The 23,339-nt window shown below is 39.8% G+C and overlaps 1 protein-coding gene and 3 pseudogenes across 16 annotated transcripts in view; 2 read left to right on the plus strand and 2 right to left on the minus strand.

Annotated features, from left to right (window-relative positions):
• Positions 1–23,339, plus strand: part of ZNF730 (zinc finger protein 730) — a 72,011-nt gene that overhangs the window by 43,026 nt on the left and 5,646 nt on the right. For 10 of the 16 annotated variants that reach the window (XM_047437995.1, XM_047437996.1, XM_047437997.1 and 7 more), the window contains 2 exons: positions 15,844–15,970; positions 17,712–17,807. In XM_047437995.1, coding sequence (XP_047293951.1) covers positions 15,937–15,970; positions 17,712–17,807 — 130 coding nt within the window. In that variant the 5' untranslated portion in view covers positions 15,844–15,936. Of the gene's footprint in view, positions 1–1,950; positions 1,995–3,902; positions 7,262–12,129; positions 12,243–15,843; positions 15,971–17,711; positions 17,816–20,131; positions 20,320–23,339 lie in introns of those variants that run through there. The other 6 variants (XM_047438001.1, XM_017026114.2, XM_047438005.1 and 3 more) reach the window with 6 other exon arrangements.
• On the minus strand, positions 4,952–5,852 carry BNIP3P37 (BCL2 interacting protein 3 pseudogene 37; annotated as a pseudogene).
• Positions 7,385–10,365, plus strand: LOC100419307 (ribosomal protein L5 pseudogene; annotated as a pseudogene).
• On the minus strand, positions 7,605–9,568 carry SNX6P1 (sorting nexin 6 pseudogene 1; annotated as a pseudogene).

The raw sequence follows: 23,339 nt of genomic DNA on the forward strand, positions 1-23,339 counted from the left end.
GCCCATGAAAATAAACCAAAACTAATTCCCTGACACTGTATTGTAAAAAAATCTCTGTGCCTCTTTTTCTTTTGTCTCCCCTAGGCACAGAGATCTTGTGAAAGTGTTTTGGGGTCAAGTTTGTTTTTTGTTTTTTTTTTTTGTTTTTTTAATTTTTATGGGATGATGTATTCTCAGCCACCCTTTAGTTTTTTCCTGGTCCTGGTTTTCAGTACTGGCTGTGAATAAACCAGGGTACACACCATGGCTATGTCTGCTAGAGTGTTTGATGATTATTAGCTTCTGGGTCATTTTCTCTCACAGGACAACAAGAGGTATGAAGTGTAGTCTCTCAAGAGAGCAGGTGGATGCCCTGGGGCTAAGAGGAATCTCCTGGTGTCTTTGAAAAGCTAACCACTTCAGACATTAACATTGTCTTCACCCAACCTAGCTTCCCTTTCTTAGAGACACATTGCGGGTCAGCCAATCTTATGCGGGTATTGAGGGAAAAACAGAAGTGATTTCTGCCCCTCGGATTCTCTGAGATTCATGGAAAAAATAGTATCCAAATGGCAGATTTTACCTATTCTTTTATTTGGTAGCATTCTACAACCAAATGTTGTAGATAATGGGTGAGTTACAAGATTTATGAAATCATCGGTTGTTATTTTTGCAGGGTAAATTTGTGACAGTGAATATCTCTGTTCTCTATCCTGTTATCTTAATTTCTGAGTTTAATGCTAAATTTTATAAAAAGAAAAAGAATCATCTGCAAACAGAGATTGTTTTAATTTCCTCTCTTCCTGTTTGGATGTGTTTTATTTCTTTCTCTTGCCTGAATGCTCTGGCCAGGACTTCCAATTTTATGTTGAATAGTGGGGGTGAGAGAAGGCATTCTTGCTCCAGTTTTCAAGAAGGAATGTTTCCAGCTTGTGTCCATTCAGTATGTTGGCTGTGGGTTTGTCATAGATAACTCATTATTTTGAACTATTTGCCTTCAATGCCAAGTTTGTTGAGGGTGTTAAACATGAAGGATATTAACTTTTATTGAAAACTTTTTCTGTATCGAAATAATTTTGTGGTTTTTATCTGTAGTTTGTTTATCTGATTAATCAAACATATTGATTTGTGTATGTTGAACAAACCTTGCATCCCAGGGATACAACCTACTTGATCATAGTGGATTAGCTTTTTAATGTGCTGCTGGATTTGGTTTGCTAGTATTTTGTTGAAGATTTTTACATCAGTGTTCATCAAGGATATTAGCCTGAAGTTTCCTTTTTTTGTTTTATCTCTGCCAGATTTTGGTATTAGAATGATGCTGTTGCCAGGAGCAGTGGCTCACGCCATCTCAGCACTTTGGGAGGCTGAGGTGGGTGGATCAGGAGGTCAAGAGATGGAGATGATCTTGGCCAACATGGTGAAACCCTGTCTCTACTAAAAATACAAAAAGTAGCTGGGTGTGGTGGTGCACACCTGTAATCCCAGCTGCTCGGGAGGCTGAGGTAGGAGAATCACTTGAACCTAGGAGGCAGAGGTTGCAGTGAGCCAAGATCGCGCCACTGCACTCCAGCCTGGCGACAGAATGAGACTCCGTCTCAAAAATAAATAAATAAATAAATAAAAAGAATGATGCTGCTTTTATATAATGAGTTGGGGAGGAGTCCCTTCTTCTCAATTTTTTAAAATAGTTTTGTAAGATATAATACTTGTTTTTCTTTGTACATTTGTTAGAATTCAGCTGTGAATCTGTCTGGTCCTGGACTCACTTTCTTTCTTTTTTTTTTTTTTTTTTCTCAGGCAGAGCCTCGCTCTGTTGCCCAGGCTGAAATGCAGTGGTGGGATTTCGGCTCACTGCAACCTCCACCTCCCAGGTTCAAGCAGTTCTCCTGCCTCAGCCTCCCAAGTAGCCAGGACTACAGGCGGGTGCCACCATGACCGGCTAATTTTTGTATTTGTAGTAGAGACAGTATTTCACCATGTTGGCCAGGCTGGTCTCGAACTCCTAACCTCAGGTGATCCTCCCACCTCGGCTTCCCAAAGTGCTGGGATTACAGGCATGAGCCAGCACAACTGGCTGGTCCTGGGCTTTCTTTTGGTTGGTAGGCTGTTTACTACTATTTCAATTTTGGAGCTTGTTATTGGTCTATTCACTGATTCATTTTGTTGTTTTTGTTCAGTTATGGGAAGATGGATTTTTCCAGAAATTTATCCATTTTTTTTTTTTAGATTTTCTAGTTTTCACAGAGAAGTTTGTAGTAGACTTCAGTACTTATTCATATTTTTGTGGGGTCAGTGGTAATGTCGCTTTTGTCATTTCTAATTGTGTTTATTTGGTTCTTCTTTTTTCACTAATCTTATTAGTGGTTTATTAATCTTATTAACTTTGTTATAAGATAATAAGATAAGTGGTTATTATCTTATTAAATTTTTCAAAAGATTTAACTCAATAGATTTCTTATTTGTATGACTTTTCATGTCTAAATCTCCATCAGTTCAGATCTTCTTGTCTTCTGCTAGCTTAGGAGTTGGTTTTCTCTTGCTTCTTTCATTCTTTTATTTATGATGTTAGGTTGTTATATTGACCTCTTTCTAACTTTCTGATGTGAGCATCAAAAAGTGCTATACATTTCCCTCTTACCACTGTCTTAGCCATGTTGCAGAGATTCTAGTATGTTGTATCTTTGTTCCCATTTGTTTCAAAAAACTGCTTAATTTCTACCTTAATTTCATTATTTATTCAAAAGTCATTCACATGCAGATTCTTTAATTTCCATGTAATTGTATAATTTCAAGTAGTTTTCTTTGTGTTGAATTATATATTTATCAAGCTGTGGCCTAAGAATGTGTTTGGTATGATTTGGGTATTATTAAATTTGCTGATAATTGTTTTATTTCTGATTGTGTGGTCAGTTTTAGAGTATTTGACACGTGGTGGTGAGAAGAGTGTATACTGTGTAGATTTCAGATGGAGAGTGTTGTAGATGTCTATTAGGACTATTTGGTCAAGCATTTAGTTCTGATATCTTTGTTAATTTTCTGCCTCAGTGATCTGTCTAATAGTGTCCATGGGGTGTTGTAGGAGTCAGAATCTAAATCTCTTCATAGTTCTCTAAGAACTTTGTGTGTGTGTGTGTGTGTATGACAGAGTCTTGCTCTGTTGCCCAGGCTAGAGTGTAGTGGCACGATCTCGGCTCACTGCAACCTCCGCCTCCCAGGTTCAAGAGATTCTCCTGCTGCTTCAGCCTCCTGAGTAGCTGGGATTACAGGAGTGTGCCACCATGCCTGGCTAATTTTTGTATTTTCAGTAGAGACCAGGTTTCACCATGTTGGTCAGGCTGGTCTTGAACTCCTGACCTCGTGATCCACCTGCCTCAGCCTCCCAAAGTGCTGAGATTACAGGCGTGAGCTGCCATGCCCAGCAGAACTTGTTTTATTCATGTGCGTGCATGGATTTTTAATAACATATTTTTTCTGTCTGCTTTTTTTCATAAACATTCTTTCAAGTGCATACCGTATGCCCAAGGCTACAGCTTAGATGTCTGCATCCAGTGTCTACTGAAGTTCAGATGTCCAGTGTTCAAGAACATGTCCAGAGACTTGGCTGTTGTAGAAAAAAGTATAAATTAAAGATAAGAGGCTTTATTCTCTTACGTGAAAGTAAGGGAGGATATTTTGTTCATCTCTCTTTTTTTAAAACATTTAGATTACACGTAGATAGTTTTCTCTGCTTTTTAGAAATATATGTAAATCATAGTAACAGCTATATAAACCTTTTGTTATTCTTTCTGACTCAGAATTGTCTTCATCTAGGACCTCAGAACCATTGCTTTGTTTTTGCTTTGGCAAAGGTTTTTTTTTGTTTTTGTTTATTTTCATTTTTAGTCTTTTAAAGTAGACACAAATTTGTTTAAAGCTTTTTTTTTTTTTTTTTTTTTTTTTTTAGACAGAGTTTCACTCTTGTCGCCCAGGCTGGAATACAATGGCACGATCTTGGCTCCTTGCAACCTCCACCTCCCAGTTCAAATGATTTTCCTGCCTCAGCCATTCAAGTAGCTGGGATTACAGGCTCCTGCCACCACCCTTGACTAATTTTTTTATATTTTTAGTAGAGACTGAGTTTTGCCATACTGGCCAGGCTAGTCTCAAACTCCTGACCTCAGGTGATCCTCCTGCCTTGGCCTCCCAAAGTGCTGGGATTACAAGCGTGAGCCACCACATCGGGCCGTTTAAAGCTTATTTTAAGAGCACACAAAAGTTGAGCACAAAGATAAGATTAAATTTAGCAACACAGAATGATAAAGAATAAAAAAGATACTGAGTAAACTTTTTTGACAGAAAACTGATTATCCAAGGTAATTATCTCATATTTGCAGGCTAAAGTACTTACACTGCAAAGGCAAGAACAGTTCAGTTTATTCACTAAATAGTGGAATCTGTAGGTGGACTTTGGTTTCTGTTACTTCAGAACAATTAGTATAGTTAGGTGTAGTGTTTGTAGACAACTTGCATTCACACAAATTAACATTTTGTATAATAGTATGAATATAAGGCTACAATATTTGAATAAATCCCTTTAGTCATTTTAATATTGTTATTTATACTCTTGAAATATAAAGTGTTTTAACTGAATTATGGTTATAGATATTTTTAAAGTTCTACATACATTATGACAAGTACATTAAAATTATTTATACTTAGATATTTATATCTAATATCCAAAGAAAATTCACTACAAAATTGTTACAGTTGTTATTAGTTTGACATGCTTATTAATTTATCCAATAGGATAATTATAGGTAAGCATTGTTTTAGTGTCTTTCATTTCACTGAATTTGAATGCTGCTTTTACAGGACAAATAAACATAATGGGCTATGTGACCACCCAAAACCATAATAGCTCTTCAGTTAGCTATGTTGCAAGCTCAAATATATTCCACTGTATAACAAAGTCAGATTCCAGTTTTTCATCAAAAAGTGCTGGTGAAAATTGTCAGATGTATTCCAATATAGATCCCCAATTCACTGGTTAGGAGATGGGAGAGCAGCAGACATGAAAAAGAAACCTTATAGGCCAGACACGGTGGCTCACGCCTGTAATCCCAGCACTTTGGGAGGCCAAGGCAGGTGGATCACGAGGTCGGGAGATCAAGACCATCCTGGCTAACATGGTGAAACCCCGTCTCTACTAAAAACTACAAAAAATTAGCCAGGAGTGGTGGCGGGCACCTGTAGTCCCAGCTACTTGGGAGGCTGAGGCAGGAGAATGGCCTGAACCCAAGAGGTGGAGCTTTCAGTGAGCCGAGATCGTGCCACTGCATTCCAGCCTAGGCAACACAGCGAGACTCCAAGACTCCATCTCAAAAAAAAAAAAAAAAGAAACCTTATAAAATTCTGCTGAGAACATGCCTTTTTTTTTCATAATGCTCATGTTTCTCATGCTGAGAGTAGCCATGCATTTTGAGTGTTTCAAGAAAAATTCCTTTTGGGGGACTATCTTCTGGCCAAGTTGATCAGTCTTACATCTAATCTGAGTTTTTTCTTAAGATGCTTTTAGCTTATTTTTTCTTTCAATATAATCTTGCTCAGATTGAGAGCTGTTTTTCTCTCCAATGCTTTGGGTGTCTGTTTCAGAAACCCTATTAGTATCCCATGGTCTCTGTGAATGAGGTGGGTTGTCACAGGGAGAATATTCTTGGAGTTATCTCTATCTGGATTCATGCTGGAAATCTAGCAGTACTTTTTTTTTTATGTCACCCTTATAAATAGAAACTGAGGGTGAAATACTGCTCCCATTCCCATTACTGTGAAGGTGCAGTTCTACCCAGGAGGCCTGCAGTCTCCTCTCCCTGCAGCGCAGGCTCCACTCTCTGATGTGACACTAGAGTACTGCTGTGGCATTGGGGTTCATGTAAGATGTGAACCAGCAGCTTTGAGCTGTGTGTTGTGGGCTGTGTTTCAGTGGAAGTTGGTAGGCGTAAAGAGAGGACACTGGCCACTAGGAGAACGCAAGCAGGGTGCTGCATGTTCTACATTCTGTGAGAGGTTCCGAGAGTAAATAGAATCTGATGGCCAAATCTGTAAATGTAAACAAGCATCTTAGGAGTGAAAGATCAAGGCTACAAAGTATCCAGAGCCATAACCACAACTATACCTACCAGTAAAATGCAAGACTGGAATACAGTATTGTTGTCCTTCCTCTTACTGAAGAGCTAGAATCAGGACAGGTGATCCAGGTTCTGGAGCTCGACCAGAGCAGTTCCATTTTTTATTTAGAATCAGCCTGAGTCTCTCCTGCCTGGCTTATCATTGGGCAATCAACCCAGGGTAACTGGGAACCCTCTCACAATTACCTAGCCATCTTTGAAACATTTGAGAATATCCAGAGCAGAATTTTATCAGGCTGACAAGAGTGGTTAATGCTACTTCTTTCTCAGTGTAAAAGAAATGAGTCATTCTGTGTTTGTTCCTCCCTCATACAAGAGATAATTTTGGTTGGTACTCAGATGATAGTTTCCCCAGTTTTCTTGTACTTGGGTGAAAAACAAGGAAGAGGTCTAGAAACTAAAACAGATAAACTGATTGCTTTCATTTCATATTATCATTAGAAAAATAGGTAGAGCAGTTATGGTTCTTATCATACAGAAACTTTTAGTCTAGACTAGTGATATGGCTTGGCTATGTCACCACCCAAATCTCATCTTAAATTGTAACTCCCACAGTTTCTACATGTTGTGGTAGGAACCCAGATGGAGGTGATTAAATTATGAGGGGAGGTGTTTCCTGCACTGTTCTCATGATAGTGAATGAGTTTCACAAGATCTGATGATTTTAAAAATGGGAGTTTCCCTGCACAAGCTCTCGTTTTGCTTGCCACCATCCACGTAAGATATGACTTGCTTCTCCTTGCCTTCTGCCATGATTGCGAGGCCTCCCCAGCCATGTGGTATTGTAAGTCCATTAAATCTCTTTTTCTTCCCAGTCTCTGGTGTGTTTTTATCAGCAGTGTGAGAACAGACTAATACAAAAAATTGTTACCAGTAGAGCCGGGCATTGATGAAAAGATACCTGAAAATGTGCATGTGACTTTGGAACTGGGCAACAGGCAGAGGTTGGAGCAGTTTGGAGGTCTCAGAAGACAGGAAAATGTGGGAAAGTGTGGAACTCCCTAGAAACTTGTTGAATGGCTGTGACCAAGATGCTGATAATGATATAGAAAATAAAATCCAGGCTGAAATGGTCTCAGATGGACATGAGGAACTTGCTGAGAACTGGAGCAAAGGTGACTTTTCTTATGTTTTAGCAAAGAGACTGGTGTTATTTTGCCCCTTCCCTAGAGATTTGTGAAACTTTGAACTTGAGAGAGATGATTTAGGTTATCTGGCAGAAGAAATTTCTAAGCAAGGCAGGTCTCTGTTGAGCCATGGATGCCAGTCTCTGTTCTGCAGGATAGGTTTTGTTAAAGTTGTTAAAAATAATGCCTATTTTAAGAGATAACAAATGAAATTTAGAGGACAAGAGGATAAAGCTAATTACTATTCTTGGAAATGCTTGATGATACAGGATAAAAATAAATACAACACACCCAAATACAGGATGATAGTTTTTTTGTTAGTTGGGTTTTTTAAAGCATAATGCAGGAGTAGATTTATTATAGCTACTCCAAATGTTGAAGAGTGATACAGTGACCACAGAGTTAAAAACTCTCACTGTTATTGCTGTTTATTTTACAATAATTGGTTTAGTCTACAAGTTTAAGGCAAACATACTAATGCATTTGCTTTTCTTCAGAAATCATAAAGATTACATAAAATCTGTACCAAAACTTCTAAGAAATATTCAGTAGTTAAAAATAAGTCTGATTAAGATGCTTTACCAGGATACATGAATGAACTAAGGTGGTATATAATGCTTTTTTAAAACAAAATTTTAAAAAATTCTGTTTTAAAGGCAATAAAGGCAATCTTTATCTTGTTTGAACAATGCATTCTGAAAAGGTTAAACTTCAGAAATTATTTAAAGGTAAATAAGATTGGCATCCATAAGGAATACTATTTATAAAATAAATGCAGTTATAGAGGCTACTTTAAAGAAGAATAAAACTTGGACTTCTGAGTATGATGAGTGCACAATAATGGGCCACTATCTTGGGGAACACAGTGCGGCATTACACCACACAGACTGGCATCGCCTGTACATGGTGCTGCTCCATGCTTCTCAGAAAAAGAGTAGATCCATTTTGTCAGCTGTTTTTTATTTGTTTCCAGTGAGCATAAATGCGTAACATCATTAAGAAAACAAAAATAAAATTTGAAGGAAGGCAGCCCTTTTCAACAGGAAGGCAGAATGTGGCTTATGTGTCTCCGTTTAGCACTGCCAGGCAGTTTGGCAGCAACTGTAGGTTACCCTTTGCATGCTTCAGTTCTAACTCTGCCAGTTCCACTAGTTTTTTTTTTTTTCTGAATGCAGCAATGCTTCTTGTCTTAAAATCTATAAGTTCTTGTTTTGCAGACTGAGATTTTTTTTTTTCAAATTTCTGACTACATAATTGTTGGGAAGTTTTAGCCAGCAGAACATCTTTATTTTTTGCTCTTGCTTTATCCAGTGCTATATTAGCATTTTCATAATCCAGTAGTGACCTAGACCTTCAATACAGGAGATCCTTAGCAGCTTGAGTTTCTCTTAAGTAATATTTTTAAGGGTCAGAAAGTTTGAGGTCCTCATCAGCAGACACTCATGCTTCTATTTTTCTTGTTTTATCAAACATTTCTGAAACTTTGAGAAAAAACTTGCGTATATCTGTAGAATCCCGAGTTCCTAAAGCATATAATGAAGAACCAATTCTATTGTAATAATCTGCAGCACTTTTGTGGGATCTTGTCCTTCTATGAGTTAGCAGATGCATCCTTATCTCGGTTATGATATTCTAAAAGAAATGTTTGTTCATGCTCAAAGAAATTATCTACATCCTTTACTCCGGAAATAATTACTCCATCTGCTGATTTAACCATGTTTTTAAAGAAATCTTCAAGTTTCTCTTTTTATTTTTCCTTGCACACTCAAATCTTGATTATATTCCAAGAAGACATGGAAATTTAAATATTTTCTCAAAATAGGATGTGCTGTCACATGACATAGGAACACTTCATGCATCACAACTGTGTTCTTGGATATTCCCAAATATTCAGCTTCCAGTTCCTGTTTCATCTTTGTGAATTCTTCCTTTGTCATTGACCCTTCTCCTTCTCCAAGCTTCTGTACTTTTTCCCTTGAAGCATCAAAATCAGCTCTTGGTGGTGCTGGTGGAATGATGTAACCTGCATAGTCTTCATTTTTAACAAAGGAATCATGAAGCCAGATAAATTGCTCATGTTGCTGAACAACAGAAAACTCATTTTGTTTAAAATTTGGCAATAAACTCTTTGTGTGAATGGTGAATTTTACTTTATTCCGCTCACTAAGAGCATCAGAAATGTCCACCAGCAGAGCAGGATCACTTTGAAGATCTACATTTATTGCTTTAAGTCCACAGTTCTCTTCCTGAGAGGAAGTTAGGGCCATCGTCCAGGTCTTCCATCCTGGCTGCTCCACAGGATGATAGTTTGTGTAACAAACAAATATTGTCAGATTGCTTATACCCGTATAGAAGAGGATGTGATATTACACACAGCATATGCTCGTAAACTGCCAAAATATGATGTGAAGGTTGGCCTAACCAATTACACTGCAATGTATTGTACTGGCCTGCTGCTGGCCTGCAGGCTCCTCAGTAGGTCAAGATCTGTGACCTATGGCATGGACAAGATCTGTGAAGGCCAAGTGGAGGTGACTGGCAATGAATACAATGTGGAAAGCACTGATGGTCAGCCAAGTGCCTTCACCTGCTATTTGGATGTAGGCCTTGCCAGAACTACCACTGGCAATAAAGTTTTTGGTTCCCTGAAGAGAGCAGTAGATGGAGGCTTGTCTATCCCTCACAGTACCAAACAGTTCCCTGGTTATGATTCTGAAAGCAAGGACTTTAATGCAGCAGTACACCAGAAGTACATCATAGGCCAGAATGTTGCAGATTACATGCACTACTTAATGAAGGATGATGAAGATGGTTACAGGAAACAGTTCTCTCAATACATAAACAAAAGCGTAACTCCAGACTTGAAGGAGATGCATAAGAAAGCTCATGCTGCTATGTGAGAGAATCCAGTCTATGAGAAGAAGCCCAAGAAAAAGAAGTGGAACCATCCCAAAATGTCCCTTGCTCAAAAGATCGAGTAGCTCAAAAGAAGGCAAGCTTCCTCAGAGCTCAGGAGTGGGCTTCTGAGAGCTAATCCAAACAATTTTCAATGAGGATTTTTTAGATGAAGAAAATAAACTTATTGACAGCAAAATTTTAAAAAAATTAAATTTATAAGCAGCAAAGCATTCAAGAGATTACTTGGGTTCTGTTAAGGGCATTCAGTTTTAAAATGGAAACAGAGCATAAAAGTTTGGAAAATTTGCAGCCTGACAATGCAATAGAATAGAAAACCTCATTTTTTGAGGAGAAATTTAAGCCAGCTGTGGGAAAAATGTTTCCAGTTCATGACAGAGGTCTTCTCTGCAGCCCCTTCCATCACAGGCCCAGAGGCCTAAAAGAAAAAGACGGCTTTGTGGGTCAGGCCCAGGGCTCCCCTGCTCTGTGAAGCCTAGGGACTTGGTATCCTGTATTCCAGCCACTACAGTCATGGCTAAAAGGGGCCAAGGTAGAGCTCAGGCTGTTGTTTCAGAGGGTGGAAGCCCCAAGCCTTGGCAGCTTCCATATTGTGTTGAGCCTGTGGGTTCACGGAAGTCAAGAATTGAGGTTTGGCACCCTCCACCTAGATTTCAGAGCTATATGGGAACCCCTGGATGGCCAGGCAGAAGTTTGCAGCAGGGGTGAAGGCCTCATGAAGAATATCTGCTAGGGCAGTACAGAAAAAAATGTTGGGTTGGAGACCCCACACAGAGTCCTTACTGGGGCACCGCCTAGTGGAGCTGTGAGAAGAGGGCCATTGTCCTCCAGATTCCAGAATGGTAGATCCACTGACAGCTTGCACCATGTGCCCGGAGAAGCCACAGGCACTCAACACCAGCCCATGAAGGTGGCCAGGAGGGAGGCTGTACCCTGCAGAGCCACAGGGGTGGAGCTGCTCAAGACGATGGGAACCCACTTTTTGCATCAGCATGACCCAATGCGGGACATGGAGTCAAAGGAGATCATTTTGGAGCTTTAAGATTTGACTGCCCTGCTTGATTTTGGACTCGCATGGGGCCAGTAGCCCCTTTGTTTTGGCCAATTTCTCCCTTATGGAATGACTGTATTTACCCAATGCTTGTATCCCCCCCCCCATTATATCAGGGAAGTAACTAACTTGCTTTTAATTGTACAGGCTCATAGGCAGAAGGGACTTGCCTTGTTTCAGATAAGACATTGAATTGTGGACTTTTGAGTTGATGCTGAAATGAGTTAAGACTTTGGGCCGGGCGTGGTGGCTCATGCTAGTAATCCCAGCACTTTGGGAGGCCGAGACGGGTGGATCACGAGGCCAGGAGATTGAGACCATCCTGGCTAACACAGTGAAACCCCATCTCTACTAAAAATACAAAAAAATTAGCCGGATGTGGTGGCGGGCACCTGTAGTCCCAGCTACTCAGGAGGCTGCGGCAGGAGAATGGCGTGAACCCGGAAGGCAGAGCTTGCAGTGAGCCAAGATCGTGCCACTGCACTCCAGCCTGGGTGCTGGAGCGAGACTCCGCCTCAAAAAAAAAAAAAAAAAGACTTTGGGGGACTGTTGGGAAGGTATGATTGGTTTTGCAATGTAAAGACATTAGATTTGGAGGGGCCAGGGGTGGAATGATATGGTTTTGCTGTGTCCCCACCCAAATCTCATCTTGAATTGTAATTCTCACAAGTCATGGGAAAAACACGGTGGGAGATGATTCAGTTATGGGAGTGGGTCTTCCCTGCGCTGTTCTCGTGATAGTGAATGAACTTCAGAATATATAATGGTTGTAACAACGGGAGGTTTCCTGCACAAGCTCTCTCTTTGCCTGCCACTATCTATGTAAAATGTGACTTGCTTCTCCTTGTCTTTTGCCATGATTGTGAGGCCTCCTCAGCCACGTAGAACTGTAAGTCCATTAAATCTCTTTCTCTTCCCAGTCTCAGGTATGTCTTTATCAGCAGCATGAGAACAGACTAATAAAACTAGCAACTGAATAAAGGTTGAATTATGCATCATATGGTAGGTAAATAAATGTGTGCAAAAAAAACTTGGGCTTTATTTCGGCCATGTTCTTTATATTGTTGTGACTTTTGGTGTTTTCACCTGAAGGAATATTTATGAACAGAAGGGTTGTTATGATTATTTGTATTTCTTTTACCTTACTAAAAATACATATTCATCTTTTAATAAAATTATCCGCGGAAACCTTAAATGATTTGTTTAAATGGCTTATTAGTATATGATATAAAATTGACAGGGAAGTGACTATAAAAGGTTTAAATTACACAAACTCTGAGATTTAAATTTCTCTTAGGTAAGCTTAGGAAAAACAAAACTGGAAATATCCCCATTGGCATACAGAACCAAATTCTAGCTAGGGTCCACTCCCTGCCCCAGTTCTGTTCAGATTTACCCCTTTTGAAGGCCTTATTTAAGTCTGGCCCTACCCTGGAGTCTCATCTCACAGAACTGATTAGAAAAGATCAGTTTTGGGTGATGAATCCTGTTCCATTTTTAGAGCTGGTGCTCACAATTTTCTGAAACAGAAAAGCAGATAAATGAGAAATATAAAGTATGAATTTTAGGGTCTTTTTAAAATTATTAAAACCAGTGCTTGCAGAGACATTTTATTTAGCAACTTGTTTTCCATTCCTGCAGATCTACTCGTTGCTCCCCAAGCCACAAGAAGTAAATATAAAAACAATAAAAATTTCTGTAAATTATATTAAACTCTTCATTTCTCTATTCCTCTCATCTGTTTATGTTTAGTTTTTATTCTACACATTTTTTTAAAAGGTCAATGACAGAGAAACAGAAAAAAATATGGATCATTTTTCTAAATACTGGGAATTATTGAACACTTAGTATCAACACACAGGGTGTTATTAAGATTAAATCCTGTAATGTGCTATCACAGTGCCCTGTAGCATCTTATTGAGCTTGTAGTACCTGAATAATAAACATTGCATTACTGCATGTGTATATGTTGTTTTCTAAATGCAGACTTAAACGTTGCTTTCTAAATACAAAAACAAAAAACAAACAAAAAACATTGTTGCTTTCTGTTTCTTCTGTAAACTTTAAAAAAGCCAGCAAAGATTATAATACTTTAAGGTGGAGATTGATTGTCTTTATTTGTACCAAAAGTGTTTGTATTGTCACAAGAGTGCTGAGTGTAATGAACTCTGTGCTGTGCCTGCTTGCTCTAACTAATGCTAATAATGACCCCAGGTGGAGAAACATCAGCATTGATAGGAAACTTGTTTATAACACCCATTCCTGTATCCTTTCAAAACCTGCAGAATCACATTTCATAGAGTAGGGCCAAAATTACCAAGTGATTTATAAGCTGTTAAAGCTGGAGAGGCAATGCTTAGTTAAATGGTTATAAGCCCAGGCTTCTAATTAGAATCATGTGACTCTAAGTTGAGGCCAGAATCAAGTATGAGGGTTCAAGATACATTTATGATAGTTAAGTCTCATCTTTGCACTAAAGGGTGGTCCCAGAACCTGTTCTGTTTGGGTTGCATAGGAACAGGGCAGTGTGGCCCACGTTTTTCTTAACTGTAGCAGAAATTGCTGGTGTCTGTGGCAGGGGAGGGCACCTGAGGACAGGAAAGGAGAAACATATTTTTACATCTGTGGAGCAGCTTATTGTTCCTCAATCTCTTCTGTTATAAAGGACAGAAATGGGTAGAGTTTTTCTGTATTGGTCCTTCTACCTATGAGTGTGGTGGTAGCAGGTAAAGATGTGGTGCTTACATTGTTAAGGCATATTCTCCAGATGCAGATGTAATTTGTTTCAAAAATCTCATCTGAGAAGAAATTCCAGAGAAAGACGAGAAGAGAAAAAATGGCTTTTTTTCAGCTAAACATGCCTTGGAGTAAGGGTTGTGTCCACTCTGCCTGCTAGAATGCCATGCCTTTAGTACTTGCCAAACTTTAATTCTCTACTTGTGCTTTTCCTCTTAAATGAGTTTGTTGTAACTACGTTTTAAAATTCTTATAATAGTCAAGGATCTCAGAGAAATATTTCTTTCCTATGTACCAGAGCCTTCTCTACATTCTCTACATCATGGCTTCTTATATGCCATGATTCTCACCATGAATTTATAATCTGCAATATTAAAAATGTTCCCTTTGTGGCTGTTGAACATGGGAAGGTGTGGATGCTCAAGATTCCTATTGGGGAAACGCCAGGGTTCTTAGTAAAAATAAAGACCATGTAATGTTGAGGTTCTGTCTGTGTTCTCCATCAGCTCTATGTAGAGAAGGATTAAGAAAATGCTTATTTAAACAGGGTGGCATTTATTACCCAGTAAGTTCTGAAAAAAATTATTAGGAGATACTTGTTCTCCATGGTGCTAAAGAAAGACTATTTAAAATAACTATTAACTATTAACAATTATAGAACATGGGAAATATCTGTATTTTGAACTTTGCATAAAACTGATGTTTCTTTGTAGTTAAATTCAGGCTGTAATTTACTTTTGGAGGGCCACTATTACAACAGTGATGCTGTGTCCTGTGTGCATCAGCACATCATAAAAATTTGCCTTAGTCCAGTTGATATTAGTAACTCACTTGATTAATGAAGCTGACAGATTTCTTCAATATGGAGTTAATTATTTTTCTCTTCATTAGTAGTTTCTTTATGCAGCTGATGTGCAGAAACCATCACATTTAATCTGGCAGCTGCCCTTCTTATGTTTTCTTTGCCTTTATCTGCCTATGGAAAATGAAAGCTCTAATGTTTGTTACAGGCCAGAAAAACTGGAAAAAAAAGACTACAGGCTCTTCCAGTTACTCCATATTTGACAAAATAGCCTTCTTGGGCCATAAATATTGGCATCACTGGTCATCTTGTGTTTTTTTTGTTTTTTTTTTGTTTTTGTTTTTTTGAGACAGTTTCACTCTTATTGCCCAGGCTGGATTACAATGGCACAATCTTGGCTCACTGCAACCTCTGTTTCCCAGGTTCAAGCAATTCGCCTGCCTCAGCCTTCCCGAGTAGCTGGAATTACAGGCATGCGCCACCATGGCCAGCTAATTTTGTGTTTTTAGTAGAGATGGGATTTCTCTGTGTTGGTCAGGCTGGTCCCGAAATCCTGACCTCAGGTGATCCGCCTGCCTCGGCCTCCCAAAGTGCTGGGATTACAGGCATGAGCCACCGCACCAAGATCCAGAAACTCAGGCTTTATTCCAGACCTTCTGACACAGACTGCATTAACAAGATCTTCAGTTTATTGTAGACATTACAATTTGAGCAGTACCTTCTAACTCAATGTGACTTTTCCATCTGAAAAGTTTACACAACTCTTTCTGTATGATGTAAATATACCACTCAAAAATGTACATGTTAGTGTTCATGTCTTACTTCATCATCTGGAAAAGTATCATATAAATACTGATATTTTGGATCTTATGCCAATCTCTTTTCTCAGAGTTAGAGTATATTTTCACAGAGTAGAGAATATTTCTGTGTTGAAGGTTATTAGATAATTTCAGTCACCCCTATAAGTAAGACCCAATTATATTTACTCTTATTTCACCTTGAGTGAAACTTAAAATTCTGCCCAGGGGCACTTGGTAAATATGTGTGTTTGTTTGTGTTTTTCAGGGAGCGTTGACATTTAGAGATGTGGCCATAGAATTCTCTCTGGAGGAGTGGCAATGTCTGGACACCGAACAACAGAATTTATATAGAAATGTAATGTTAGATAACTACAGAAACCTGGTCTTCCTGGGTGAGGATAACTTTAATATACAATTCCTAATATACCCTATAGATTTCATTTATTTTTGTAAAAATTCTGTGCTTTCAGATCCCGGGTTTTTTTCTTTTTCTTTTTCTTTTTTTTTTTAAGTCCTCAGGATTTGTCCCCTGCCCCTCTGCCCGGCCAGCCGCCCCGTCCGGGAGGGAGGTGGGGGGGTCAGCCCCCCGCCCGGCCAGCCGCCCAGTCCGGGAGGGAGGCGGAGGGGGGTCGGCCAGCCGCCCTGTCCGGGAGGGAGGTGGGGGGGCCAGCCCCCCGCCCGGCCGGCCGCCCCGTCCGGGAGGTGAGGGGCGCCTCTGCCCGGCCGCCCCTACTGGGAAGTGAGGACCCCTCTGCCTGGCCAGCCGCCCCGTCCTGGAGGGTGGGGGGGGGGGTCAGCCCCCCGCCCGGCCAGCCGCCCCATCCAGGAGGTGAGGGGCGCTTCTGCCCGGCCGCCCCTACTGGGAAGTGAGGAGCCCCTCTGCCCGGCCACGACCCCGTCTGGGAGGTGTGCCCAGCGGCTCATTGGGGATGGGCCATGATGACAATGGCGGTTTTGTGGAATAGAAAGGCGGGAAGAGTGGGGAAAAAATTGAGAAATCGGATGGTTGCCGGGTCTGTGTGGATAGAAGTAGACATGGGAGACTTTTCATTTTGTTCTGTACTAAGAAAAATTCTTCTGCCTTGGGATCCTGTTGATCTGTGACCTTATCCCCAACCCTGTGCTCTCTGAAACATGTGCTGTGTCCACTCAGGGTTAAATGGATTAAGGGCGGTGCAAGATGTGCTTTGTTAAACAGATGCTTGAAGGCAGCATGCTCGTTAAGAGTCATCACCACTCCCTAATCTTAAGTACCCAGGGACACAAACACTGTGGAAGGCCGCAGGGTCCTCTGCCTAGGAAAACCAGAGACCTTTGTTCACTTGTTTATCTACTGACCTTCCCTCCACTATTGTCCTATGACCCTGCCAAATCCCCCTCTGCGAGAAACACCCAAGAATGATCAATAAAAAAAAAAAAAAAAAAAAAAAAAAAAAAAAAAAAAAGTCCTCAGGATTTGTCCATGTAGAAAAGAATTTCAAGATGTTTTATTTTGACCTGAACTTTCCACTTTCCTGAGCTGATTTGTTTCCTTCACTCTAGATTAGGATTAATTTTAGAAATTTAGTTGCAACATATTGTTGCTCACATCTTAAAATTTAATCACCATCACCAATTTTTGAATTAGTACAAAGTAGTTAAATTAAGAACCTATAAAATTAAAATATTTTTAAATATTTAGAAATTTCTTTTCTTTATTTTTTTTATTTTTTTGGAGACAGAGTCTCATTCTGTCACCCAGGCTGGAGTGCAGTGGCACAATGTCGGCTCACTGCAACCTCTGCCTCCTGGGTTCAAGCGATTCTCCTGCCTCGGCCTCTTGAGTAGCTGGGACTACAGGCGTGTGCCACCACACCTAGCTAATTTTTTCGTATTTTTAGTAGAGACAGGGTTTCACTATGTTGGCCAGGCTGGTCTTGAACTCCTGACCTTGTGATCTGCCTGCCTCAGCCTCCCAAAGTGCTGGTATTAAAGGCATGAGCCACCGTGCCTGGTCTATTTAGAAAATTTTTATAAATTATTATTTTGGGGTTAATTTACTAGAATATTCCATTACATTCTCTTTACTGAGAGCATTACTAAGTTGGTAATTGGAGAATATGAGCAAGATTCATGTTATTTTTCATAAAACAGGTATTGCTGTCTCAAAGCCAGACCTGATCACCTGTCTGGAGCAAGAAAAAGAGCCTTGGAATTTGAAGACACATGATATGGTAGCCAAACCCCCAGGTAGGTGACAGTAAATACAATACACAAAACTGATAAGAGATCTATAGTTTAAAAAAAGAAAAAAAACCAGTTTTTAAAATAATTTGGGAAGCTGTTTTACAAAGGAAATAGTTTCTGTTTCTTTTTATTTATTTTGCTTTTTATTTATTTTTTTTCCTCTCACATAGAAGCATCTTTTGTTTTATCTTTTTTAAAATCTCTAAAAATTCTTTCCCTTTGGTAATCTTACTTTACAGTGAGAGCCAAAGTCCATTTCATGGCATATAATAGACTGCACAATCTCACTGCTTTTCCATTGTTTCTGGAAACACACAGATATTTGAATAATTTTGAGAAACTCTATGTTGAACTATTTTTATTTTATTTATTTATTTTTTTTGAGACGGAGTCTTGCACTATCACCAGGGCTGGAGTGCAGTGGTGCGATCTCGGCTCACTGCAACCTCTGTCTCTCGGATTCATGTGATTCTCCTGCCTCAGCCTCCTGAGTAGCTAGGATTACAGGCGTGCATCACCACACCCAGCAAATTAAACTATTTTTTAAGTTATCTTTTTGCATTATGTCTGAAATGTGTGAGAATAGTGGTTTCTGTTTCATTTATTTATTGCTAATTTTTCTGCATATTCCATGCCGTTTTATTACTATAGTTTTGAAATATAGTTTGAAATTATACAGTATGATGTCCTCCTGCTTTTTTTTTTTTCTTTCAGGATTGCTTTGGCTATTCAAAGTTTATTGTAGTTTCATGTAAATTTTGGAATTGTATTTTCTATTACCTTAAATAACTGGAATTCTGATGGGAGTTTATTGAATCTAGAGACACCTTAGATAACAAGGCATTTTAGCCTGGGCATGGTGGCTCACACCTGTAATCCCAGCACTTTGGGAGGCTGAGGCAGGTGGATCATGAGGTCAGGAATTCCAGACCAGCCTGGCCAACATAGTGAAACCCTGTCTCTACTAAAAATACAAAAAATTAGCCGGACGTGGTGGCAGGCACCTGTAATCCCAGCTACTTGGGAGGCTGAGACAGGAGAATTGCTTGAATCTGGGAAATGGAGGTTGCAGTGAGCCAAGACTGTGCCACTGCACTCCATCCAGGGCAAGAGAGTGAGACTCTGTCAAAAAAATAAAAATTAAAAATAAGGCACTGCAACAATATTTATTCTTTCCATTAATAGACATAAAATATTTTTAAATTTATTTGTGTCTTCTCTAATTTTTTTAATTGATATATCTTTCATTTAAAATATTTTTTAGTTCCTTGGTTAAATTTGTTCTCAGAAATTTATTTTAGTGCTATTGTAAATAAGGTTACTTTCTTTCTATATTTTATCAGATAGTTTAAGTGTATGGAACCATAACGTATAGTTGTATGTTAATTTTCTATTTGCTAATGTATTGAGTATAATTATTACTTTAATCAGGTTTTAATGTACTGTTTATGGTTTTTTATATATAAAGTCAAATGCTCCAGAACCAGCAGCTTCTTACTTGTCTTCAATGTCAGTGACTTTAAAAATTTATTTTGACTAATTTTTCTGCCACGTACCTTCAGTGCTATGTTTAAGTAGAAGCATTGAGAATGGGCACAATATAGTTTTGCTTTGTTCTCTGTGAATTTTAAGAAGCAAACACCTCTTCAGGTTTTTATAAACTGGCTTCAAGATGTAAAGATATTCTTTTGTTGGGTGCCCAGGGTGATAGAATGCCCTCTGGGCTTATAGTGGAGAGGGGTTGTAGCTTGGTAACAAGGCTGCTGGGTCTTCACTGGGGTCCAACTTTAGTTGACTTGTTACAAGGGGCTTGGGTAGTTATAATTCCCATTATATTTTTGGGCAGAGTGAATATCCTTTAGGACTTTGCTCTGTAGGGTAGACACTAGGGCAGGTTTCTGCAATTGGTTGTGCATATATGGTGGGCTTTATATCAAAATGTAGATGAAAATGGCTTTCACGGCCGGGCGCGGTGGCTCACGCCTGTAATCCCAGCACTTTGGGAGGCCGAGGCGGGCGGATCACGAGGTCAGGAGATCGAGACCATCCCGGCTAAAACGGTGAAACCCCGTCTCTACTAAAAATACAAAAAATTAGCCGGGCGTGGTGGCGGGCGCCTGTAGTCCCAGCTACTTGGGAGGCTGAGGCAGGAGAATGGCGTGAACCCGGGAGGCGGAGCTTGCAGTGAGCCGAGATCCCGCCACTGCACTCCAGCCTGGGCGACAGAGCGAGACTCCGTCTCAAAAAAAAAAAAAAAAAAAAAGAAAATGGCTTTCACTGGGTACCAGAAAGGATTTCCCCAGGTCTCTGTGTGGGTTTCCATGTAGGTAGAGCTGACCATGAACTGTGGCTCAAAGAGCTGGAACTGAGTCATGCAAGTGCTTCGGGGAAGACAATAAGGACCAAGGTCTGCAGTCTTGTCTGTGTGGCTATAAATGAGTGTCTTTCTCCAGGCCTCTGAAAAGGCAGGACCTCTTCCAGACTTTGGCTGGGAAGAGTTTTGGATGGTTTCAGAGTAAGTTCAAAATTCTCAGTGGGACCAAGTTGGGTGGATAATTTTCTGGTCTGTAGCCAAGAACAGGGGTCCTGTTGTTTGCCACCTGAATGAAAGCCTGCCTTCTAAAAAGGATGCTCCTCAATCTTGGGCATTAGCAGAGTTTCACAACTTCCTTCCTGAATCTCAGAGCTCTCTTAAAGGCACTTATTTTGGAGATGGGGTCTTGTTACATAACCCAGACTAGTCTTGAAATCTTTGCCTGAAGCAATTCTTCAGCCTTAATGTACCATGTAGCTGTCATTACAGGTTTGAGCCATGATGCCTGTTTCTCTCATAAAGGCATTTTTTTTCAGGGATTGCTGACAGATTTTCTTGCTGTAGGAAAATAAGCAAATAGGGCACCTTTTATTTTTCCATCTTACTGATGTCACTCTCCCTGTACATTTTTACTTTCTATTTCAATTTTGTGTGTAATTTTAGATTGAAACATTTAGGGAAATATACTAGAATTGACATGTTATGTCTGAAGTAAATTAGATAATTAGTAGGCAGGCAGGCAAAAAGAAATAGACAGGCAAAATGGAATTATAGGATTTTCACCCATGTTTGTCAGCCTATGTCTAAAAAATAACATGATTTATTCTCAAATATTTGGTTTATATATCAGAGATCCTAACTATATTCTGCAAAAAATATATTTTTTTTTCTTTATTTAGCATTGTAAAGCTATTCTTTGCTTCTAAGCTTGGATTACAGCAGTTTCATTTTGTGTATAAATAGCATATATTTAAAACTTAAAAATTATTTTTAGTTTCTTTTAAATGTTTATCAAAAGTTTTTCATAGAATCTTCTATTTATAATTATACTGCATTTTATCTGAAATTTTACTACCATATAGTGGATGCCAGTGATTCAAAATACCTTTCCTCCATGAGTACAGTTTCAGTCTAATATTGCATTATCTAGACAAACTCTTTTTTTGTTTTTATTTTTTGTTTTTTTCTGAGATGGAGTCTTGCTCTGTTTCCCAGGCTGGAGTGCAGTGGCACGATCTCGGCTCCCTGCAACATCCACCTCCTGAATTCAAGCAATTCTCCTGTCTCAGCCTCCCGAGTAACTGGGACTACAGGCACCTGCCACCATGCCTGGCTAATTTTTGTATTTTTAGTAGAGACAGGGTTTCACCTTGTTGGTCAGGCTGGTCTCGAACTCCTGACCTCAGGTGCTCCACACACCTCAGCCTCCCAAAGTGCTGGGATTACAGACGTGAGCCACTGTGCTCAGCTGACAAATTCTTTTTAATGCTACATCAACGTTGCATACCAGATTTTATGAGTAAGCATTTCTGTTATTATTGTTTTGCAGTTCCATATCAGTGTGTTTTTTCGGTGTGGGTTTCCTAATATCAGTTTATTGTGTTTGCTGGTTTTACAGTTTTAGGCGGTTTGCAACTCTGTTTGTACATATAAGTCAATGTGGGATATAATTAAGAGATAAATCAGCCATATGTTTATCACAATCAGATTATGTGTGTGTGTGTGTGTGTATGTGTGTATCTATAAATATGACCCCTACTTTGGTTATGGCACATCTTATATATTTTTTTTTCTCAGCAGATTTTCCATGGTGTTTTTTTCTTGTGTAAGTGAGTAGTCATGAAAGTAGTTTTATTTTCACCTTGTGTTTAATAATAAATATTTCCTTTGAGAAAAACACTTTTGTGACTTGAAGGTCATATTTGAAAAAATTTATAATTTTGTATCTTTTAATTTATTCTTTTTAAAAAATAGATTGGTTGTGGTGGCTCGTGACTGTAATCCCAGCACTTTGGGAGGCCAAGGTGGGCAGATCACTTGAGGTCAGGAGTATGAGACCAGCCTGGCCAACATGGTGAGACCCCATCTCTACTGAAAACACAAAAAATTAGCCGAGTGTAGTGGCGTGCACCTGTAATCCCAGCTACTTGGGAGGCTGAGACAGGAGAATTGCTTTAACCCAGGAGGCAGAGGTTGCAGTGAGCCAAAGTAGCGCCACTGCACTCCAGCCTGGGCAAAGCAAGACTCGGTCTTAAAAAAAAAAAAAAAAAGATGTAAAAACATATAACCTAAAATTTACCATCTTAAAACTATTTAAGGCCGGGCGTGGTGGCTCACGTCTGTAATCCCAGCACTTTGGGAGGCCGAGGCAGGCTGATCACAAGGTCAGGAGTTCAAGACCAGCCTCACCAATATGGTGAAACCCCATCTCTACTAAAAATACAAAAATTGGCCAGGCATGGTGGCCAGTGCCTGTAGTTCCACCTACAGGGGAGGCTGAGGCAGGAGAATCGCTTCAACCCAGGAGGCAGAGGTTGCAGTGAGCCTAGATTTTGCCACTACACTCTAGCCTGGGTGACAGAGCGAGATTCTGTCTCAAAAAAAAACTAAGTATTCATTTCATGGCCAGTCATGGTGGTGTTTCACATCTGTAATCCCTGGATATTAGGAGGCTAAGGCAAAAGGATCGCTTGAGCCCCAAAATTTGAGACCAGCCCAAGCAATATATGGAGACCCCATCTTTCCAAAAAAAAATTTAGGCTAGATGTGGTGGCTCACGCCTGTAATCCCAACACTTTGGGACGCCGAGGTGGGTGGATCATGAGGTTAGGAAATCGAGACCATCCTGGCTAACACGGTGAAACCCCGTCTATACTAAAAATACAAAAAAATTAGCCGGGTGTGGTGGCGGGCACCTGTACTCCCAGCTACTTGGGAGGCTGAGGCAGGGGAATCACTTGAACCCAGGAGGCAGAGGTTGTAGGGAGGTGAGATCACGCCACTGCACTCCAACGTGGGTGACAGAATGAGACTCCGTCTCAAAAAAAAAAAAACAATTTTAAAATAAACAGACATGGTGTTGTGCACCTGTTATCCCAGCTACTTGGGAGATTAAGGGGTAAGGATTAATTGAGCCTAAAAGTTTGACGTTGCAATGAGCTGTAATTGTGCCACTGCACTCCACCTTGTAATCTGTAGATTGCATTGAGCAGGATAGACAC

The sequence above is a fragment of the Homo sapiens genome, chromosome 19, assembly GCF_000001405.40.
Source record: "Homo sapiens chromosome 19, GRCh38.p14 Primary Assembly".
Lineage (NCBI taxonomy): Eukaryota > Metazoa > Chordata > Mammalia > Primates > Hominidae > Homo > Homo sapiens.